Source organism: Homo sapiens, chromosome 10 (genome assembly GCF_000001405.40).
Source record: "Homo sapiens chromosome 10, GRCh38.p14 Primary Assembly".
NCBI classification, from domain to species: domain Eukaryota; kingdom Metazoa; phylum Chordata; class Mammalia; order Primates; family Hominidae; genus Homo; species Homo sapiens.
In genome coordinates this window covers 42,580,307-42,598,400 of record NC_000010.11, presented here as the reverse complement: position 1 = coordinate 42,598,400, position 18,094 = coordinate 42,580,307, and the positions used below count along the sequence as shown (strand labels likewise).

Here is an 18,094-nt window from a genome sequence, read left to right as displayed (position 1 = left end):
TGCATTGGTTGCAGCAGCAGCAAACTCATGAACATTTGCAACCCAGAGAGGACCCACAGCGTGAGGCTGGTTTGTCTCTCCCCTAAGTCTGTCCCTCTGCCATTCTTAGGAAATACTAATTTTCTGGGCTGAGTACTGGGACAGTAACCTCCAGCTTTCAGGCAGTCATCATGGTCAGTAAAGTATTAGAAAATAAAAGCATACTTGTGGACATTGTGTTAAGGCACACTAGGCAGTTACTAGAATTCTTTGGAGTGTAGATTCTCTGGTGTTAAGAACTGCTGCAACATTGCAAAGCAAATATCCACAGGCTTAGAAATAGGAATTTCATTTGATGGGAGAGAACATTATTTTCATTTAAAATTTTGGATGAATCAAGTATTAACAAAGAAGTCAACTTTAAAAATAGGGTTTTTTTTGCATTTGAAAATACAGCAATATACTGCATAAACAGGTGTTTCCAATTATATGCAAATCATGAAGCCATTTTTGGTTTCTTGTACAAGATGTAGGAAATGTCAGAGGAAACATTAAAATGCCATTGTATAAATTTATATGTAAAATTGAATTCAGTTTTGTACAAAACTAACATTCATGAAGAATTAATTGCAGAGAAGTGCTACTCCAGTCTTTGTCTATATATACCAAAACTTGTATTTTTTTAACTTTTATTGTGCAGTAATATATCAGAAATCAGAAATTTAGCCCATATTGTCACAATGTATAAAGAACCAACAGGTCCCTAATGATTGCATCAGCTGAAAAATCAACCTTCTCAAAATTAAAAATTAGCAAAAATTACTTATCTTGCATTTGCCAAGAATACATGTTACTTTCAATTATATATTGAAAATGAAGTTGCTAAAAATATAAATTTCGATGACTTAATAAATGAATTTGCAAAAAGAGTGCCAGAAAATCTTATGATCAATCAAGGTATCATATTAACAAACTATTAGTAATTATTGTATTATTTAAAGTTTATTACAACAAAACTGTTTTTTGTGATTTGTAAATTTATGTTGTTTTATGTTACTATTATACCTATTACATTTTACAAGTAGTAAAATATGTTAAAGGAAAAAAGCATAATTTATTTTACTTTTTACTATACTTCTTTTTATACATTCTGAGTAACTGACCTCACATTTTTATTTTGCACTGGCCCCATCAATTATGTAGTCATCTCTGCCCTGTATTAAAATGAAAAAAAGAGAAAAAAAGTCAAACCCGTATGACCATTTCAACATATGCGAGAAAGCATTTGACAAAATTTAGCATCCATTTCTGATTAAAACTCTCAAATGAAGAATAGAAGATAACTTTCTTTAATAAAAGTCATCTATAGAAAATGTACAATTGACATTGTATATAATTGTGAAAAATGGAATGATTTCTTTCCAATATCAGAAACATGACAAGGATGTACACTCATACCTGATAGTATAATATATGCTATCTAGTATAACCAAGGAAGAAAAAGAAAGGAGACTAGAGTGGAAAAGAAGTAGAAATGTCTTTATTCACAAAAGATATGATTATCTACGTAGGAAATCTAATGGAGTCTCCCAAGATATGGGAAAAAGAATGACTAGAATTATTAAGTGTAGCTAGGTGACAGGAGAAAAATATGTAAAAATGAATCTTCTATAAGAAATGATCAATTGGAAATTGCAATTTTTAAAAGTTCTATTTGCAATAGTATCAAAAATTTTTTTTTACAGCTATGTCTGGCAAAAGATGTGAAAGACCACACTAGAAACAATAATCCACTGCAGAGAGAAATTGAAGACCTAAACAAGTGGAACTCCCTGCTTATGTCAGAAAGCTCAATATTGCTGACATGTTTTGTCATTAAAATGACTTATAGATTTAAAATAATATAATTCCATGTAGTAATTAGCAGGATTTCTTGTAGTAATTGAGTATGTAATTCTAAACCTTATGTGGAAATACACAGGAACTACAATAACTAAAACTTTGAAAAATAAAAGCTGAGTCATATGTATAACATTACCTGATTTCAAGACTCATTATCAAAGTAAAAGTTTGCTGAGACTTGGTCTTTTTGTCCAGAGTACTTTTTCTTCAATTTTAACATCTAGTAGTTTTATTAAGATATGTTTTAGAGAAAACTGTTGCTGAACAGTTTTCCCAGGTTCATGATGGTTCTTTTGAATAGGAACCATCATGGATCAGGTCTTTTAGTTTTGGACAGTTTTCTTAGATTATACTTTCTAATATTAGATTTATTCCATTGTTTTCTTTTTTCTTCTTTAAGGACTGCAATAACATATATACTATATTATAATTTTATTTATTTAATTGTAGACCAGCTTTATCCAGAACTTTCTTTCTGATCCAATTTTCTTTTTTCTTACTCTTTTAAAATTATTGTTTCTTCTCTTTTTTCTGTTTCATTCTCCTTTACAATGCTGTTTATTCAAGTTTCAGTCAAGTGTAGTTTCCCCTTTGGCTCTTTTTTACTTTACTCAGGCTGCTGTAACAAAATTCAACAGACTGGGTAGCTTAAATAAATTTTCTCACAATTGTGGAAGCTGTAATTCTAAAGTCAAGGTGACAACAGCGTTGGTTTCTGGTGAGTTCTCACTCCTTGGTTTGCAGATGGCATTTTCTTCTGGTGTCCTTACACAGCCTTTTCTCTGTGCATATGACCAGTGGTCGGGTGTGGTGGGCAGGGGGAGAAAGAGAGTTCATGCATGTGCTTTCCAGTCTCCTCCTCTTCTTATAAGGACATGAATGCCATTGTATTAGTCTTACCCTTATGACCCCATTAAACCTTAGTTAATCTCCTTAAAGTCCCCATCTTCAAATACAGTCACACTGGAGGTTGGGGTTTTAACATACACATTTTTGGGGGGCACAGTTTAGTCCATGACAGATTCCTTAATAAGGAATGTCTTTAATAAGTCTTTAATAAGACTTGAATTACAAGTCTTATTTTCTGTGATTACTCTGTCCTCTTTACAACTTCATTCCTGAGTTTGATTACCCTTTGCCTCTTTAGTTTACATACAATCCAAGTCTCTTCTCTTGGATTTCCCAGTAGCCTGAGCTTTAATCTATGTGAATTCAGACATCTTCTGAGCATTTTCTCACTCATAGTAAAACTTTCCCTTTCTGGGAGTAGTTTTGTGTTTCATCCTCTCTGGGCTGTCTGTCTCCTCTATTCCATGTGATCACCACAGTCTCTGGCTGACTCTCTTTGTAGGCATGGGCTGTCACTTTTTGCTGTATTTGAATATCTATTGCATAGTGGTGATTTGAAATGAGTAATATTCTCCATCTCCTAGTTATGCTAAAGTCATGGGTTGTTATAGATAATATTATTTGCTCCACTTATGCTGACCTTTATAGTTCTTGGGGAGATGCATGGGGAAATGCAGATGTAAGCAGTTGCTATTATTCTTCTTACATTAGAAACCAAGTGTGTGCATTCAGATAGTTAATTTCCTCTCTGTTTTTCCACTAGCCTAGGCCTTTTGTTTCTGGTTTTTGTTTTTGTTTTTTCACTCCAAACTCATGAAATACAAAAAAATATGCACTTGCAATTATGTTCATCTCTGGAAATTGGCCAAAAAACCAGAGTCAGCTACAACATAGGGCATTTGTGTAGAGATTTCATTCCCTAAGAGATGTTTTGGTATTTATATGGTAAGATTAATTTTGTTTGTTTGTAGAAGTCTGGACAGCTGATCACCTGAAAGAGAGGAGCCAAGAAAATCAATCTAAACATTTGTGGGAAGTTGTATTCATCAATAATGAAATGCTGACTAAGGAACAAGGTAATGTAATAGGAATACCATTTAACATGGACGTAAGTTCTTTTCCTTCCAGAAAAATGTTCTGTCAGTATGACTCACGTGGAATGAGTTTCAACACTGTTTCAGAATTGGTTATCAGTAAGATAAACTATTTAGGAAAAAAGTCTGACGAATTTAATGCATGTGGGAAATTGTTACTCAATATTAAGCATGATGAAACTCATACTCGAGAGAAAAATGAAGTTTTGAAAAATAGGAACACTCTGAGTCATCGTGAGAACACTTTGCAGCATGAGAAGATTCAAACTTTAGACCACAATTTTGAATACAGTATATGTCAGGAAACCCTCCTTGAAAAGGCAGTATTCAATACACGGAAGAGAGAGAATGCAGAAGAGAATAACTGTGACTATAATGAATTTGGGAGAACTTTCTGTGATAGTTCATCCCTCTTGTTCCATCAGATACCTCCATCAAAGGACAGTCACTATGAATTTAGTGATTGTGAGAAGTTCTTATGTGTGAAGTCCACCCTTTCTAAACATGATGGGGTACCTGTGAAACACTATGATTGTGGTGAAAGTGGGAATAATTTCAGGAGGAAATTGTGTCTGTCACAGCTTCAGAAAGGTGATAAAGGAGAGAAACACTTTGAATGTAATGAATGTGGGAAAGCTTTCTGGGAGAAGTCACATCTCACTCGACATCAGAGGGTGCACACAGGAGAGAAACACTTTCAATGTAATCAATGTGGAAAAACTTTCTGGGAGAAGTCAAACCTCACTAAACATCAGAGATCACACACAGGGGAGAAACCTTTTGAATGCAATGAATGTGGGAAAGCCTTTAGCCATAAGTCAGCCCTCACATTACACCAGAGAACACATACAGGGGAGAAACCCTATCAGTGTAATGCATGTGGGAAAACTTTTTACCAGAAATCTGACCTCACTAAACATCAGAGAACACACACAGGGCAGAAACCCTATGAATGTTATGAATGTGGAAAATCCTTCTGTATGAATTCACACCTTACAGTACACCAGAGAACTCACACAGGTGAGAAACCTTTTGAATGTCTTGAGTGTGGGAAATCCTTTTGTCAAAAGTCACATCTTACACAGCATCAGAGAACTCACATAGGAGATAAACCTTATGAATGTAATGCATGTGGGAAAACTTTCTACCACAAGTCAGTACTCACCAGGCATCAGATAATTCATACAGGGTTGAAACCTTATGAATGTTATGAATGTGGGAAAACCTTCTGCTTGAAGTCAGACCTCACAATACATCAGAGAACGCACACAGGGGAGAAACCCTTTGCATGTCCTGAATGTGGGAAATTCTTTAGCCATAAGTCAACCCTCTCTCAACATTATAGAACACACACGGGGGAGAAACCCTATGAATGTCATGAATGTGGAAAAATCTTTTACAATAAATCATACCTAACAAAACATAATAGAACACATACAGGGGAGAAACCCTATGAATGTAATGAATGTGGAAAAACCTTCTGCCAGAAGTCACAACTCACTCAGCATCAGAGAATTCACATAGGGGAGAAACCCTATGAATGTAATGAGTGTGGAAAAGCTTTCTGCCATAAGTCAGCTCTAATTGTACATCAGAGAACCCATACACAAGAAAAGCCTTATAAATGTAACGAATGTGGAAAATCTTTCTGTGTGAAGTCAGGACTTATTTTACATGAGAGAAAGCACACGGGGGAGAAACCCTATGAATGCAATGAATGTGGGAAATCCTTCAGTCACAAATCATCACTCACAGTACATCACAGGGCTCACACAGGAGAGAAATCTTGTCAGTGTAATGAATGTGGAAAAATCTTTTACCGTAAATCAGACCTTGCTAAACATCAGAGATCACATACAGGGGAAAAGCCCTATGAATGTAACACATGCAGGAAAACCTTCTCTCAAAAGTCAAATCTCATTGTACATCAGAGAACACACATAGGAGAAAAACCTTATGAATGAATTGGATATTAGAAATTTCCAGCCACAAGTCAGCCTCCATAATGCCTCAGAGTCTTCACACTGTGGAGAAGGGCCTGTTGACATCCTGAATGTTCAATAACTATCCACAAACTCGCCTTATGTTACTCCAAAGTAACAGTAGGGGATAAACCCATAGACTACAACAACTATAGGATGGCTTTTGTTAGGAAGTGATATTCTGTTGAATATCAGATGGTTAATACTGGCATAAAACCTCACAGATTTTTTTGAATTTGTGAAAGTTTTTGGCAAAACTACAAATAGGATTATGTTAGCATTTACACTGAGGAGAAAATTGTCAATTTAAGAAATCTAAAGTGAAAATTTTGCTTAGAAATAAAATATGACAAGTTCTGTTTTGAGTTTGATGCCATAATAGTTTTTAAGGTATCTAACAATAATTTATAGATGTACATTGTGGAATGTAAAGCTTTAAGAATTTTTTAAGAAGTAATAATTAAAATAACCTCACAAGAAGTTGTAATGAGTACAGAGAATTCCCGTGTACCCTTCACCAAGCTTCCTCTAAGGATAATATATAATCATAGTATATGGTCAAGTCCAAGAAATCGATGTTACCTTGCTAGTAGATGCAGACTTACTCAGATTTTGCTATGGTTTGCGTGCACTCTGTGTGTGTACGTGTATGTGTGTGTGTGTGGTTATAACAAACTGGTACTTTTACATTTGAGTAACCATCAACACAATTAGTTTACAGAATGGAAAAGGAGTCTGAGATCTGTACTGTTTCAGGATTACAAAGGAATCAGGATTTAGCCTCAAGTAGTTCCCTTGTTGTATTAATAACCACACCCTTTCTGCATCCCTGTCCCTGGCATCCACTTGACTATGAAGCTTTTTGTAAAGCATAGATAAATTGAATAATCAGGGCAACAGCATTAAGCACATCTGTGAATTATCCCTGAAGTTCATAGGACTTACATATGTACAAGTGGTATGTGATATAAATCGTGTGTTTCATATGCATAATGGTATTTAACGTAATTGTGAATAGGAAGTAGGTATCCTAATTTAGTAGTGGTTACTTCATCAGGCCCATCCCAGGTGTTTGTCGTGTCCTGAAACAATTTAAATAGAGACCCACAGAGCTAATGTTTATCCATTTAAAAGTTATAAATCAAAATAACAGATTATCTGAAAAAAAATCTATCCTGTACGTGTGAAGATCTAGGCCTGCCTCCATGTTACTCCCTTTCTCTTACTACCTGTGGCTCATCCCATGCCATGAACTGCCTGGGGTACATATGTGAACACTCCAGCCTTCAGCGTAAGTGATAGTCCAAATTTTCTTTAAGCAGCTGCTCTCCAAGACAGGGCCCTGGAAAGAGGCCCACACATACAGCCCAGTTGCTGCCCAGGGCTGTTGGACTGTCATTTCATTGCTCATTGTACCCAGACAGGGATCTGGGCCTTCAGAGACTTTTGAGAATATGAAGAGGAGGGTTGAGGCTGGAGAAGAGCCAGAATCAAGCTGGCATGGGGCTTTTATTGACAGTGTGAAGATTGTACACTACATTACATGATCAGATCATACAAATAATCTAAGATTTTACAGTCTGGTGACCCTAGATTACACAAGTAATCTAAGCTTCCACTTTGGAAAACTAGAAAAAGAAGAGCAAATTAAATCCAAAGTAACCTGGAAAAAAATTAGAGTAAAAATCAGTGAAATTGAAAAGAGAAAATCAATAAAACCCAAAACTGTTCTTTGAAAAGGTGGGTAAAATTGATAAACCTCTAGCTAGATTAAGAAAAAACAGAAGACAAATACTGCTAATACCAAAAGTGAAAGAGGCCATCATAGCTGATCCTATGGTCACCAAAAGGATTAGAAAGAAATATGGACAACTCTGTCCATAAATTTGATAACTTAGCTAAAATGGATCAATTCCTTGCAAGATGCATTCTCTCAAAGCTCATAAAAGGTAGATCTCAGTAGGCATATATATCTATTAAATAAATTGAAGCAGTAATTAATAACCTTCCAAGACCAGGCGCGGTGGCTAAAAATACAAAAAGTTAGCCGGGCGTGGTGGCATGCGTGTATAGTCCAAGCTACTCAGGAGGCTGAGGCAGAAGAATCACTTGAACCTGGGAGGTGGAGGTTGCAGTGAGCCAAGATTGTGCCACTGTACTCCAGCCTGGGTGACAGAGTGAGACTCCATCTCAATAAAATTAATAATAATAAAACCTTCCAAAAAAAGTGCCGGGACCAAATGGATTCACTGATGTGCATTTTTCGAGATACTTAAGGTAGAAATGATACCAAGTCTGTACTGTCTCTTTCAGAAAATAAAAGCAGGGATAACACTTCCCAAATCATTTTGTGAGGCCAGGATTACCCTAATACCAAAGCCAGGCAAAAACATTACAAGAAAGGAAAACTACAGATCAATATTTCCAGTGAACACAGATGCAGAAATCCTTAAAATGTTAGCAAATCAGGAATGCAAGCCTTGTTCAACATTTGATATTCAGTGCAATCCATTGCATGCATTAGCAGTTCAAAGATTAAATATGATCATATCAATAGGTACAGAAAAAGCATTTGACAAAATCCAATATCCATTCATGATAAAACCTCTCAACACAGAAGGAATACAGGAGAACTTACTCAATTTGATAAAGAACTACTACAAAAAACCCTACATCTAGCATCATCCTTGATGTTTCCAACTAAATGCTTTCCTACTAAGATCAGGAACATGGCAAGGAACACCACTGCTTTTCAGCATTGTACTGGAAGTGCTATCTAATGCAGTGATACCAAAAAAAAAGGAAATAAAATGCACATAAATTTGGAAGGAGGAAATACAACTGTCTTTGTTCTCAAATAACATGATTGTCTTTGTAGAAAATTCTAAATAACAAAAACCTGCTGACATTAATAAGCAATTATAGCAGGGTTGTAGAATGTAGTCCTCAGGTATATGATAAAAAAGAATTAGACATCAAGTCATTAAAAGACATATAGGAACCCTAAATGCTTATTGTTAAGTGAAAACCAATCTGAAAAGGCTTTCTATGTTGTATGATTGCAATTATATGACATTCTGGGAGAGGCAAAACTATCGAGCGAGTCAAAGGACCAGTGGTTGCTGAGAGTTGAGGGGAAAGGAGGGATGGCAGGTAGGTGATTTTTAGGACAGTGAAAGTACTCTGTAGGGTACTGTAATTTGTCAAAATGCAGAGAATGGAAAACAGTGAACGGAAAACACAGAGTAAACCCTAGTGTCAACTCTGGACTTCAGTTAATAACAGTGTACCACTATTGGCTCATCAATTGTAACAAATGAACCATAATGATGCAAGATGTTAATAATTGGGGAGCCTGTGGAGGATGGGAGGGTTAAAGGTTTATATGAGAATTCTCTGTACTTTTTGCTCAATTTTTCTGTAACCCTAAAGCTGCTCTAAAAAATGAAGTGTATTAAGTAAATAAATAAGTAAATAACCAACCAACCCTGAGGAACATCTTGTTTCTGTACTAAGGTGTTCTTTTGTTAGTCGTGTGTTTCTGACTGAACCTGTAAATCACCGTTAATGAACATTTGAATTGCTTTTATACATCCTTGATATATTTTAAATTATGGTAACTGTGACCTGAAATTAAGGACTAGTATTCTTGGTTCTCTTGACATCTGAAGCCAAAAGGACCTCAAATGACCTAAACTCGTTTCCATCCCCACTCTGCTTCCACAGGTGAGGTACCTTAGCAGACAGTCCTCCCTGTCAGGGGGGCCAGGCACAGTTCCTGCTTATTCCTAAGCAGTAAGATCTGCTTCCCTACCAGCTCTTGGAATTATTCACCAAACCCCTCACATCCTCCCACAGCAAACAGTGGTCACTGTACTCTCTGGATAGTACAGCTGCTCACTACAACCCCTTCTTTTCCACTTTGCTCCCAAGTGGAACCCTTTGTGGCTCTGCCCGGCATGTGGTGTCCTCCTCACCTTTCTGAGAGTTGGTGTGACTGACAAACTCACCTAGATCTTATCTGTCCAGTGTCGGGTATTCAGTGTTCAACCTTTCTATAGCATCAGAGTGGGGAATCCCATCTTCACCATCAGGGTGAAAAGGAAGCAGTTACAACCACTGGCATAAACAGGATGGCCCATCCAAAGCCAGGGTCGTCTAGTCCAATTTTAACTAACTGCTCTTGGCTAACTGACAGGTTCCATATTATGGCAAAGGCTTCTTGGACAGAACCACCAGTTGCTGGCAGGTTTGCACTTGGCCTGTGCTGTAATGCACTTTTCTTAGGGGAGGTGAGTGTCACATCTCTTCCCATCCTAAAATGCTCTTGTGTGCAGGACAAGAGTGCTCTCCCATTGGCTGTATCCCTGCATGACTTGACTTGGGCTCAGCCTGTTTGGCAGGTGGTCTCTGAGGCTCCCACCTGTAAAGGTAGTGACCACACTGCACACAAACTGATCAGCACTTGAGCCCCACTTTCCAAAGGACTGGCTGGAGCTCTCTGATTATCACTGGCTGCATGGAACATCCCTATAGACTATTGTTTGTTATTGCACACCCCTGGGTTGTGCATGCAGATGGCCTATTGTGAGGTTTGTGGAAAGGCAGGAGACAACTGAGAGAGGTGAGTGTGGCACTCCAGTTGCCTAAGGAGGCATTCAGGAGGGGTAGTACCTGCACCCTGTGCTGCGCCTTCACTTGCTGCCACTACACATGATTTCCTGACCCCTAAGAATGTCAAGATGCACATGCATGGTGGCCCATGGTCCAGGTGCTGATGAGAAGAGAAAAAGGTACCAGTTCTCCCCAGATTACCAGAGGAAGTAACTCTTCTGCTCTCCCAATACAAAACCCTCGCCAGTGTGCCTGAGCATGGCCTGGCACTGATACTTGCCAACATGCCACAGGGTGAATTTTGGAATCACGGGGCCTGATGGCCTGCACCTGAGCCACAGAATATATGACATTACCATTATCATAGGGAGAGTGACTGTGACATCCACTGTGCTTTGAGTGTTTGTGTCCCCTCCAAAAGTCATGTTGAGGCCAGGTGCAGTGGCTCAACAAATCGCAGCACTTTGAGAAGCCAAGAACAAATCCCAGCACTTTGGGAGGCCAAGCACAAGTCCCAGCATTTTGGGAGGCTGGGGCGGGAGGATCACTTGAGGTCAGGAGTTCAAGATCAGCCTGGCCAATATGGTGAAACCCCGTCTCTACTAAAAATACAAAAATTAGCTGGGTGTTGTGGGCACCTGTAATCCCAGCTACTCAGGAGGCTAAGGCAGGAGAATCACTTGAATCCAGGAGGCGGATGTTGCAGTGAGCCAAGTTGGCGCCACTGCACTCCAGCTTGGGCAAGAGAGCAAGACTCCATCTCAAAACAAAACAAAACAAAAAGCAAGTCATGTTGAAACTGAATCCTCAGTGCAACAGCTTGCAAAGGTTTGGCCTTTGGGAGGTGGTAAGGTCATGAGAACTCCACCTCATGAATGATTAGTGATCTTAGGAGCCAGCTGGAGAGAACACACTAGGCCCTTTTTGCCCCTCTCCTTTCTGACATGTGAGGGCCCAGTGTCACTCCCCTCAAGAGGAAACAGCAAGGAGGGGCTGCCTTGGAAGCCGAGACCTTGTCCCTACTGGATACTCACCTTTCATCTTGGCACTTTCATCTTGGACTTCCCTGCCTCCAGAGATGTGAGAGGTAAATTTCTATTGCTTATAAACGACCTAGTCTCAGGTGGTTTGTTATAGTACATGGTTCACACAAATGGATGAAGACAAAATGTCTCTTGGAAATTTGGCATTTGGCCATGCTACACTCTCATCTCTGCACATGAGGAATATGTTGGGAGGCTACTGAAAAAATCAAACTCAACACCTAATGGCATGGTCCCAATGCTGCTTAAGACATTTGTCAGATTATTTTCAGGGGAAACTGTGAGACTATTATGACTGTGTGTGTGTGTTTGCATGCAGCCTATGTGTATGTGAGGTGGGGCTGGGAGAGAGATTTATAATACCCCAGTTAATAGTTAATCTGAAGGTTGGATTGAGCCCGGGAATTCAAGGCTGCAGTGAGCTACGGTGGTGCCACTGCACTCCAGCCTGGGTGACAGAGTGAGACTTCGTCTCTTTGAAAAACAAAAGGCTGGGTGCTGTGGCTCATGCCTGTAATCCCAGCACTCTGGGAGGATGAGGCAGGCAGATCATGAGGTCAGGAGATCGAGACCATCCTGGCTAACACGGTGAAACCCCGTCTCTACTAAAAATACAAAAAGCCAGGCGTGGTGGCAGGCACCTGTAGCCCGAGCTACTCGGGAGGCTGAGGCAGGAGAATGGCGTGAACCTGGGAGGCGGAGCTTGCAGTGAGCTGAGATGGTGCCACTGCACTCCAGCCTGGATGACAGAGCGAGACTCCGTCTCAAAAAAAAAAAAAAAAAAAAATCTGAGGAAAATTATCCTGTGCCGATCATCTGGAAGTAAACAGTGGGTTTGGAGTATGCACACCCTAGAGAAACCGTAAAGCAAAATGCATCTGTGTCTGTGTGTAGTAATAACAGACTGGCATCTGCAGATTCAAGCTATGAACTAGAGCAAGGCATCCTGACTCTGGTCCCACAGGTTCACATGGAAAGAGACAGCACAAATGAATGAAATAATTGTGGGAAAGACAGCCATCTTGATAAATCACATTTCCTTTTTAAGGATAGTTTTAAGGCACCAATGGAAGCAGACATAGCTTGGTAATCCATGGGTACCACTTGAATGGAAGAGAGGAGACACAGACAAAGACAACCAAGAGGCTTAAACTTGCCAAAAAATTTATTTATAACAAAAAGGGCAGCAAGGTACATGTAAATATATACATAATGCTAACAGTGTCAGAAGATGAATATCCTGCTTTGTTCAGTGATTTCATGGAGTTGCTGTTTTGCATTTCCTTGTCATGTTCTCTGTCTACATGTTTAAAGGGAGGATTACATGTGAACACTATTCATTATCAGTATTATGCATCTAAGCTGGTGTTATCAATCATTGGTAGATAGATAGTGAGATAACTTCTAGTTCCCATCTCCTCCAGTAAGAACTAAGATGCAAACCCTTTGTGGTGAACCGACATCAAGATGAAATATAGCACCCCCATTTTCTCTGCATTAGCCTGTCTTCAGGCTCACCCTGTGAACTCATCAAAGGTAGTGAAGTGTGGATGTGTCTCTTTTACCTATTTTCACCTTGGTTCAGTTCTAGTTTGTGCATTGTCCAGACTGCCCAGGATGTGACGATCACAGGAAGGAGGTCGTGTTCATTATAAAAACACTTTGGCTCCTTAGGATTCAGCAAAGGTATCCACTGCCTGGTGTCCGTGGTGCCTGCAGGACAGTGTGGAGCTTAGAAACAATCACGTAGGCCATGAAGTGAGGCCAGAGACTAAAGTGGTGTCCACAAGGCAGAGAAAAGATGCTCCTTTTGGGTTTCCAAGTGGTCAGTTTCCTCTTGCATTAGTCTTGTCCCAGGACATGGTGTCTCCCCTTGTTTATCCTCCTGTGGGTCACACTACTACTTCATCGTGAGGAGGAGCCAGATGGGATGGTGAGAAAGACTCCTTCTCCCTCCTAAACCCGAAGCCCTAGTGAGCTCTGCAGGGCATCGAGCAGAGCCTGAAACTCTTCCTGGCTGCAGGCCATGGAGGGTTCTCCTGTCCTAATCCTAACTGATGATGGTGATTTCTGAAACTCTGAGGTTGTCAGGAGTTCATCTAAAAGGGATGAGGTGAGGCCAGGCACAATGGCTCACGCCTGTAGTCCCAGCACTTTGGGAGGCCAAGGTGGGTGGATCGCCTGAGGTCAGGAGTTTGAGACCAGCTTGGCCAACATGGTAAAACCCTGTCTCTACTAAAAATACAAAATTTAGCAGGACATGGTGGTGGGTGCCTGTAATCCCAGCTACTCGGGAGGCTGAGGCAGGAGAATCAGTTGAACCCAGGAGGTGGAGGTTGCAGTGAGCCGAGATGGTGCCATTGCACTCCAGCCTGGGAGAAAGAGCGAAACTCTGTCTCAAAAAAAAAAAAAGCTCAAAGGAAAGGGGTGGCCCCTTGCTTGGCCATGCCCTAGGCTGCTGCAGGTGTGTCCATGTGAGCACGTTGTGGAGCAGCACCCTGTCCCCAGGTGGCAATTTGACCACCACACCCTGGGGCTGCTCATGGCCACCATTGCCTAAGGTGGGCTGTGTCTTGCAGACCTTGTTGTTGCGATCCTTGCTCAGGATGACCAGAAGGAGGCTGAGTAGTGTCCTTGAAGGGCAGAACTCCCAGGCTAGTGCTGTCACTGTCCTTGTCATTCTGGCAATTTCCTTGGTACACATTCCAGAAACGAGACTAAGTGGGTGAGAGTACCCCTCCAAGAGTTGGTCCTGTTGACACATGGGTCCTGAGAGGAGAGATCTCCTGGCACAACTCAGGTGGACTGGTGCAGGATGGCCCTTGGTGCCTGGCTCACACAGCCTCCACAGACCTGCTTAGTGGAGGAAGGGCTGGTACAGATGACCAATGGCTGCTGGGGGAGTTGGAGGGAGGCCTGTGCGCAGAGCTGCTTGCGCAATGCACAGGTTGCTGTGCTGCAGCTGAGCAGTAGGGTGAGTTCTGTGGCTGGGGCTGCCAGGGAATTCACGGGGCTGCCTCTGCTCTGGCCTGGGGGCTGAGCTCTTCAGTTCTGAGCCCACATCTAAGAGAAAGGGAAACAAGGATGTCAGAAGACGTAAGAGGTTCCAGCTTCATTCCCTCATCTGTGAGGCAGAAGTGACATCTGTTGGGCTTTATCTCGGTGATTCTGTCTGTACATTTAGTCTGCAAAATATGGACGAGTTAAGGGAAGTATTGCACTGGCCCGTGAATGGATGCCACATTGATTTGCTAGAATGGCAAGATTTTCCCACAAAAGTGGAGACCATAGACTATTAGATTATCACACCTGGGGGTTAGTTGAGGGGCAAGGTCTATACTGGTGTCTAGTGCCTAGAAGCCTGGGATGGAGATAAAGGTCACATAAGACATAAGGCACATATGACATAAGACGAATAAGACACATGACAGCACCCTCATAACAAAGAACTCTCAACTTCTTTGAAGATACCAGCTCCCATTTATCTAGTACCATCTCAGCGGGCAATACCACTTCCAAATTTATGGGACAAATTGTGCACCACAGACAGAAAACTTACCTAGATTCTGGATTCTGGAATGCCTGTTTGTTTTGCCAGCTCTTCCTTGATGGCAGTTCCAGGGAATCGGTTCCTCTGAAAAGCTTGAAGGAGGACACCTGTCTGTGGTTTAGTGATGGCATCACTTTTGTCTCCCTCCTTTGGTTAAGCATTCTGTAGGAAAACACAAGAAAAGAGGGCTTTCAGGCCATCTTCACATCAACCCTAAGACAGACATTTTCAAATATTGTTCTCACCATGCTTACTCCCTCCCAGGCCCCTGAGGTGTTCATGCACTGATCCTGGACCTTGGATTAAACCCTTGCAGTGCTGGAAGAAGAGGACTCTGCACTGCCTGCCACACCAGGACTGGAAGATCAATGGCCTTCCCTTCTTCCAAACTACCTTCCCATGAGGTGGGGATGGTGGTCACATCTCCAACACTGGCGTGCTGTGGAAGAGACATCAGCATTCTCTGCAACAAATTTGGAAACAGCCTAAAGAGACGTTTCTACTTCAAAGAGATGCACTGAGGAAGTGCACTGGCACTGCTGGGGACTCACCTGGGGCCCAGGGCTGAGGCTTCTCGTGTCCTTGGAGCTGCTGTCCTCCCGAGGAGCGTCCACACTGCAGCCAGCTCAGCCTCAGGTGTCCTATCTGGTTTTGAAACCAAATCTAAGTGGGAAAAGAAGATTCAAGTTTTATCCGATTTAGTCTACATAATTTTAAGTATCTATTTGAGCTCAACACCAAGAATCACTTCCTTCTCTGTCCCATCTGTGGTCTCCAAAGGAAAGGTCCCTGGGTTAGGAGACACTGGCTAGCATCCTAAAGCCAGAGCTGGCCGATGGGTGTGTGTCCACTCTTCCTTCACCTCTTCCCCACCCTACAGTTGTTTTTGTCTCATGCTCACTTGCTCTTTCTGCCTCCCTCTCACTCTTTAGGTCTCACAAAGGCTTTGGTCAAGGACTGACTGACTTTCCTTGGCTCTCTGTCATCTCCCCATAATCAAAGGCATTTCATAACACACAATCCATGTGAAGGGACCTCTGATCAAAATTCACTTAAAGAGGAGCTCACTAATTACCAGTACTTACTGCTGAGCCTGGAATCATTCGTATATACCCCAGAGTTCATTCATTCCAGACACAGTACTAGATAAGGAGACTCCTATGAGCCAAAAACCTAACTCTGAATAGACTGTGACTGTCATAATCAAACCCTGTGGCTGCCTCCTTCTTACTGGAGGGCATAGAGGAATGCAGATTTTTGTTTGTTTGTTTTGAGACAGAGTGTCGCTGCAATGCCCAGGCTGAAGTACAATGGTGCGGTCTCGGCTCACTGCAACCTCTGCCTCCCGGGTTCAAGCAATTCTCCTGCCTTAGCCTCCTGAGTAGCTGGGATTACAGGCATGCACCATCATGCCCTGGCTAATTTTTGTATTTTGTGTAGAGACGGGGTTTCACCATGTTGGCCAGGCTGGTCTTGAACTCCTGACCTTGGGTGATCCACCTGCCTCGGCCTCCTAAAGTGCTGAGATTACAGGCGTGAGCCACCATGCTCAGCCAGGAATGTGCTTTTAATCATTTCTTAGTGTTTCATGTGGGGACTTGATAACTCACAATAAGGATTCTATCCTAAAAGACAAGCAATACCTGTTGACCTGCTCTTATGTCCCAGGCAGTTTGTAAAACTGTTTCATCTATTCTCTCAATATGTCACTTCAAATATGATCAGGAAAGAAGTCTTAAACATGGCTGGAAATGTGGGGGCAACAAATACATTAGTGAACACCCTGGCGGATCCAACCTCATTCTACATGGTTTCTTGTGCTTTCCTTCGGCACCATCAATTCCAGTGGGCTGGTTGCCAGTGCTCCAGCCAATCTCCATGTCTTCCCGTGGACACACTTTTTTTTTTTTTTTTTTTTTTTTTGAGACAGATTTTCACTCTTATTGCCCAGGCTGGAGTGCAATGGTGCGATCTGGGCTCACTGCAACCTCCACCTCCTGGGTTCAAGTGATTCTCCTGTCTCAGCCTCCCGAGTAGTTGGGATTACAGGCAGATACCACCACGCCTGGCTAATTTTTGTATTTTTAGTAACGAGGTTTCACCATGTTGGCCAGGCTGGTCTCGAACTCCTGCCTCAACCTCCAAAAGCGCTGGGATTACCAACATGAACCACTGCCCCCAGCCCGGGCCACACTTTCATTCTTGGATTTGATGTAGCACTCTGACACCTGGACTGGGTGCATAAAGAAAAGGAAATACGTCTTCACTTGGCCTGCCTGAAACTCAGATCCCTGTATCCCAGGGCTTACTCAGGATTATAGCATTTGATATAAAACCCTGACCGTAGGCTTTTCTTCAACAGAGTCCCTTTTACTTAGTTGTTGACAGTCTGGATACACTTCTCCTGGTGTGATTGTGATCTTTCCAGCTATTTCTTAACTGGAGAAACAGAATGGTTTTATTTTATTTTATTATTTATTTATTTATTTATTTATTGAGACAGTCTCGCTCTGTTACCCAGGCTGGAGTGCAGTGGCGCGATCTTAGCTCACTGCAACCTCTGCCTCCTGGGTTCAAGCAATTCTCTGCCACAGGGTCCCACTACCATACCTGGGTAATTTTTGTGTTTTTAGTAGAGACGGGGTCTCACCATCTTGGCCAGGCTGGTCTTGAACTCCTGGCCTCATGATCCACCCACCTCAGCCTCCCAAAGTGCTGGGATTACAGGCATGAGCCACCGCTCCCAGACACTTTTATTTTTATATCCATTTTTCCACTCAAAATATTCCAAAATGGGATCAGGCACTAAACTCTCCAGTGTGTAAAGCCCACATAAAAACACTTAGTAGAGGCGAGGCACAGTGGCTCACTCCTGTAACCCCAGCACTTTGGGAGGCCAAGGTGGGGGGATCACTTGAGGCCAGGAGTTCAAGACCAGCCTGGCCAACATGGCAAAACCCCATCTCTACTAAAAATACAAAAATTAGCCAGATGTGGCACATACCTGTAATCCCAGCTACTTGGGAGGGTAGGGGATGAGAATGGCTTGAACCTGGGAGGTGGAGGTTGCAGTGAGCTGAG

At 41.7% G+C, this 18,094-nt stretch overlaps 1 protein-coding gene across 14 annotated transcripts in view; it reads left to right on the top strand.

The window, feature by feature from the left end:
- The window catches only part of ZNF33B (zinc finger protein 33B), a 64,402-nt gene that overhangs the window by 40,170 nt on the left and 6,138 nt on the right, over positions 1-18,094 (top strand). For 8 of the 14 annotated variants that reach the window (NM_001305033.2, NM_001305038.2, NM_001305037.2 and 5 more), the window contains one exon: positions 3,702-9,292. In NM_001305033.2, the coding sequence (NP_001291962.1) occupies positions 3,702-5,788 (2,087 nt within the window). In that variant the 3' untranslated portion in view covers positions 5,789-9,292. Of the gene's footprint in view, positions 1-3,701; positions 9,293-15,277; positions 16,815-18,094 lie in introns of those variants that run through there. The other 6 variants (NR_130949.2, NR_130948.2, XM_047425718.1 and 3 more) reach the window with 4 other exon arrangements.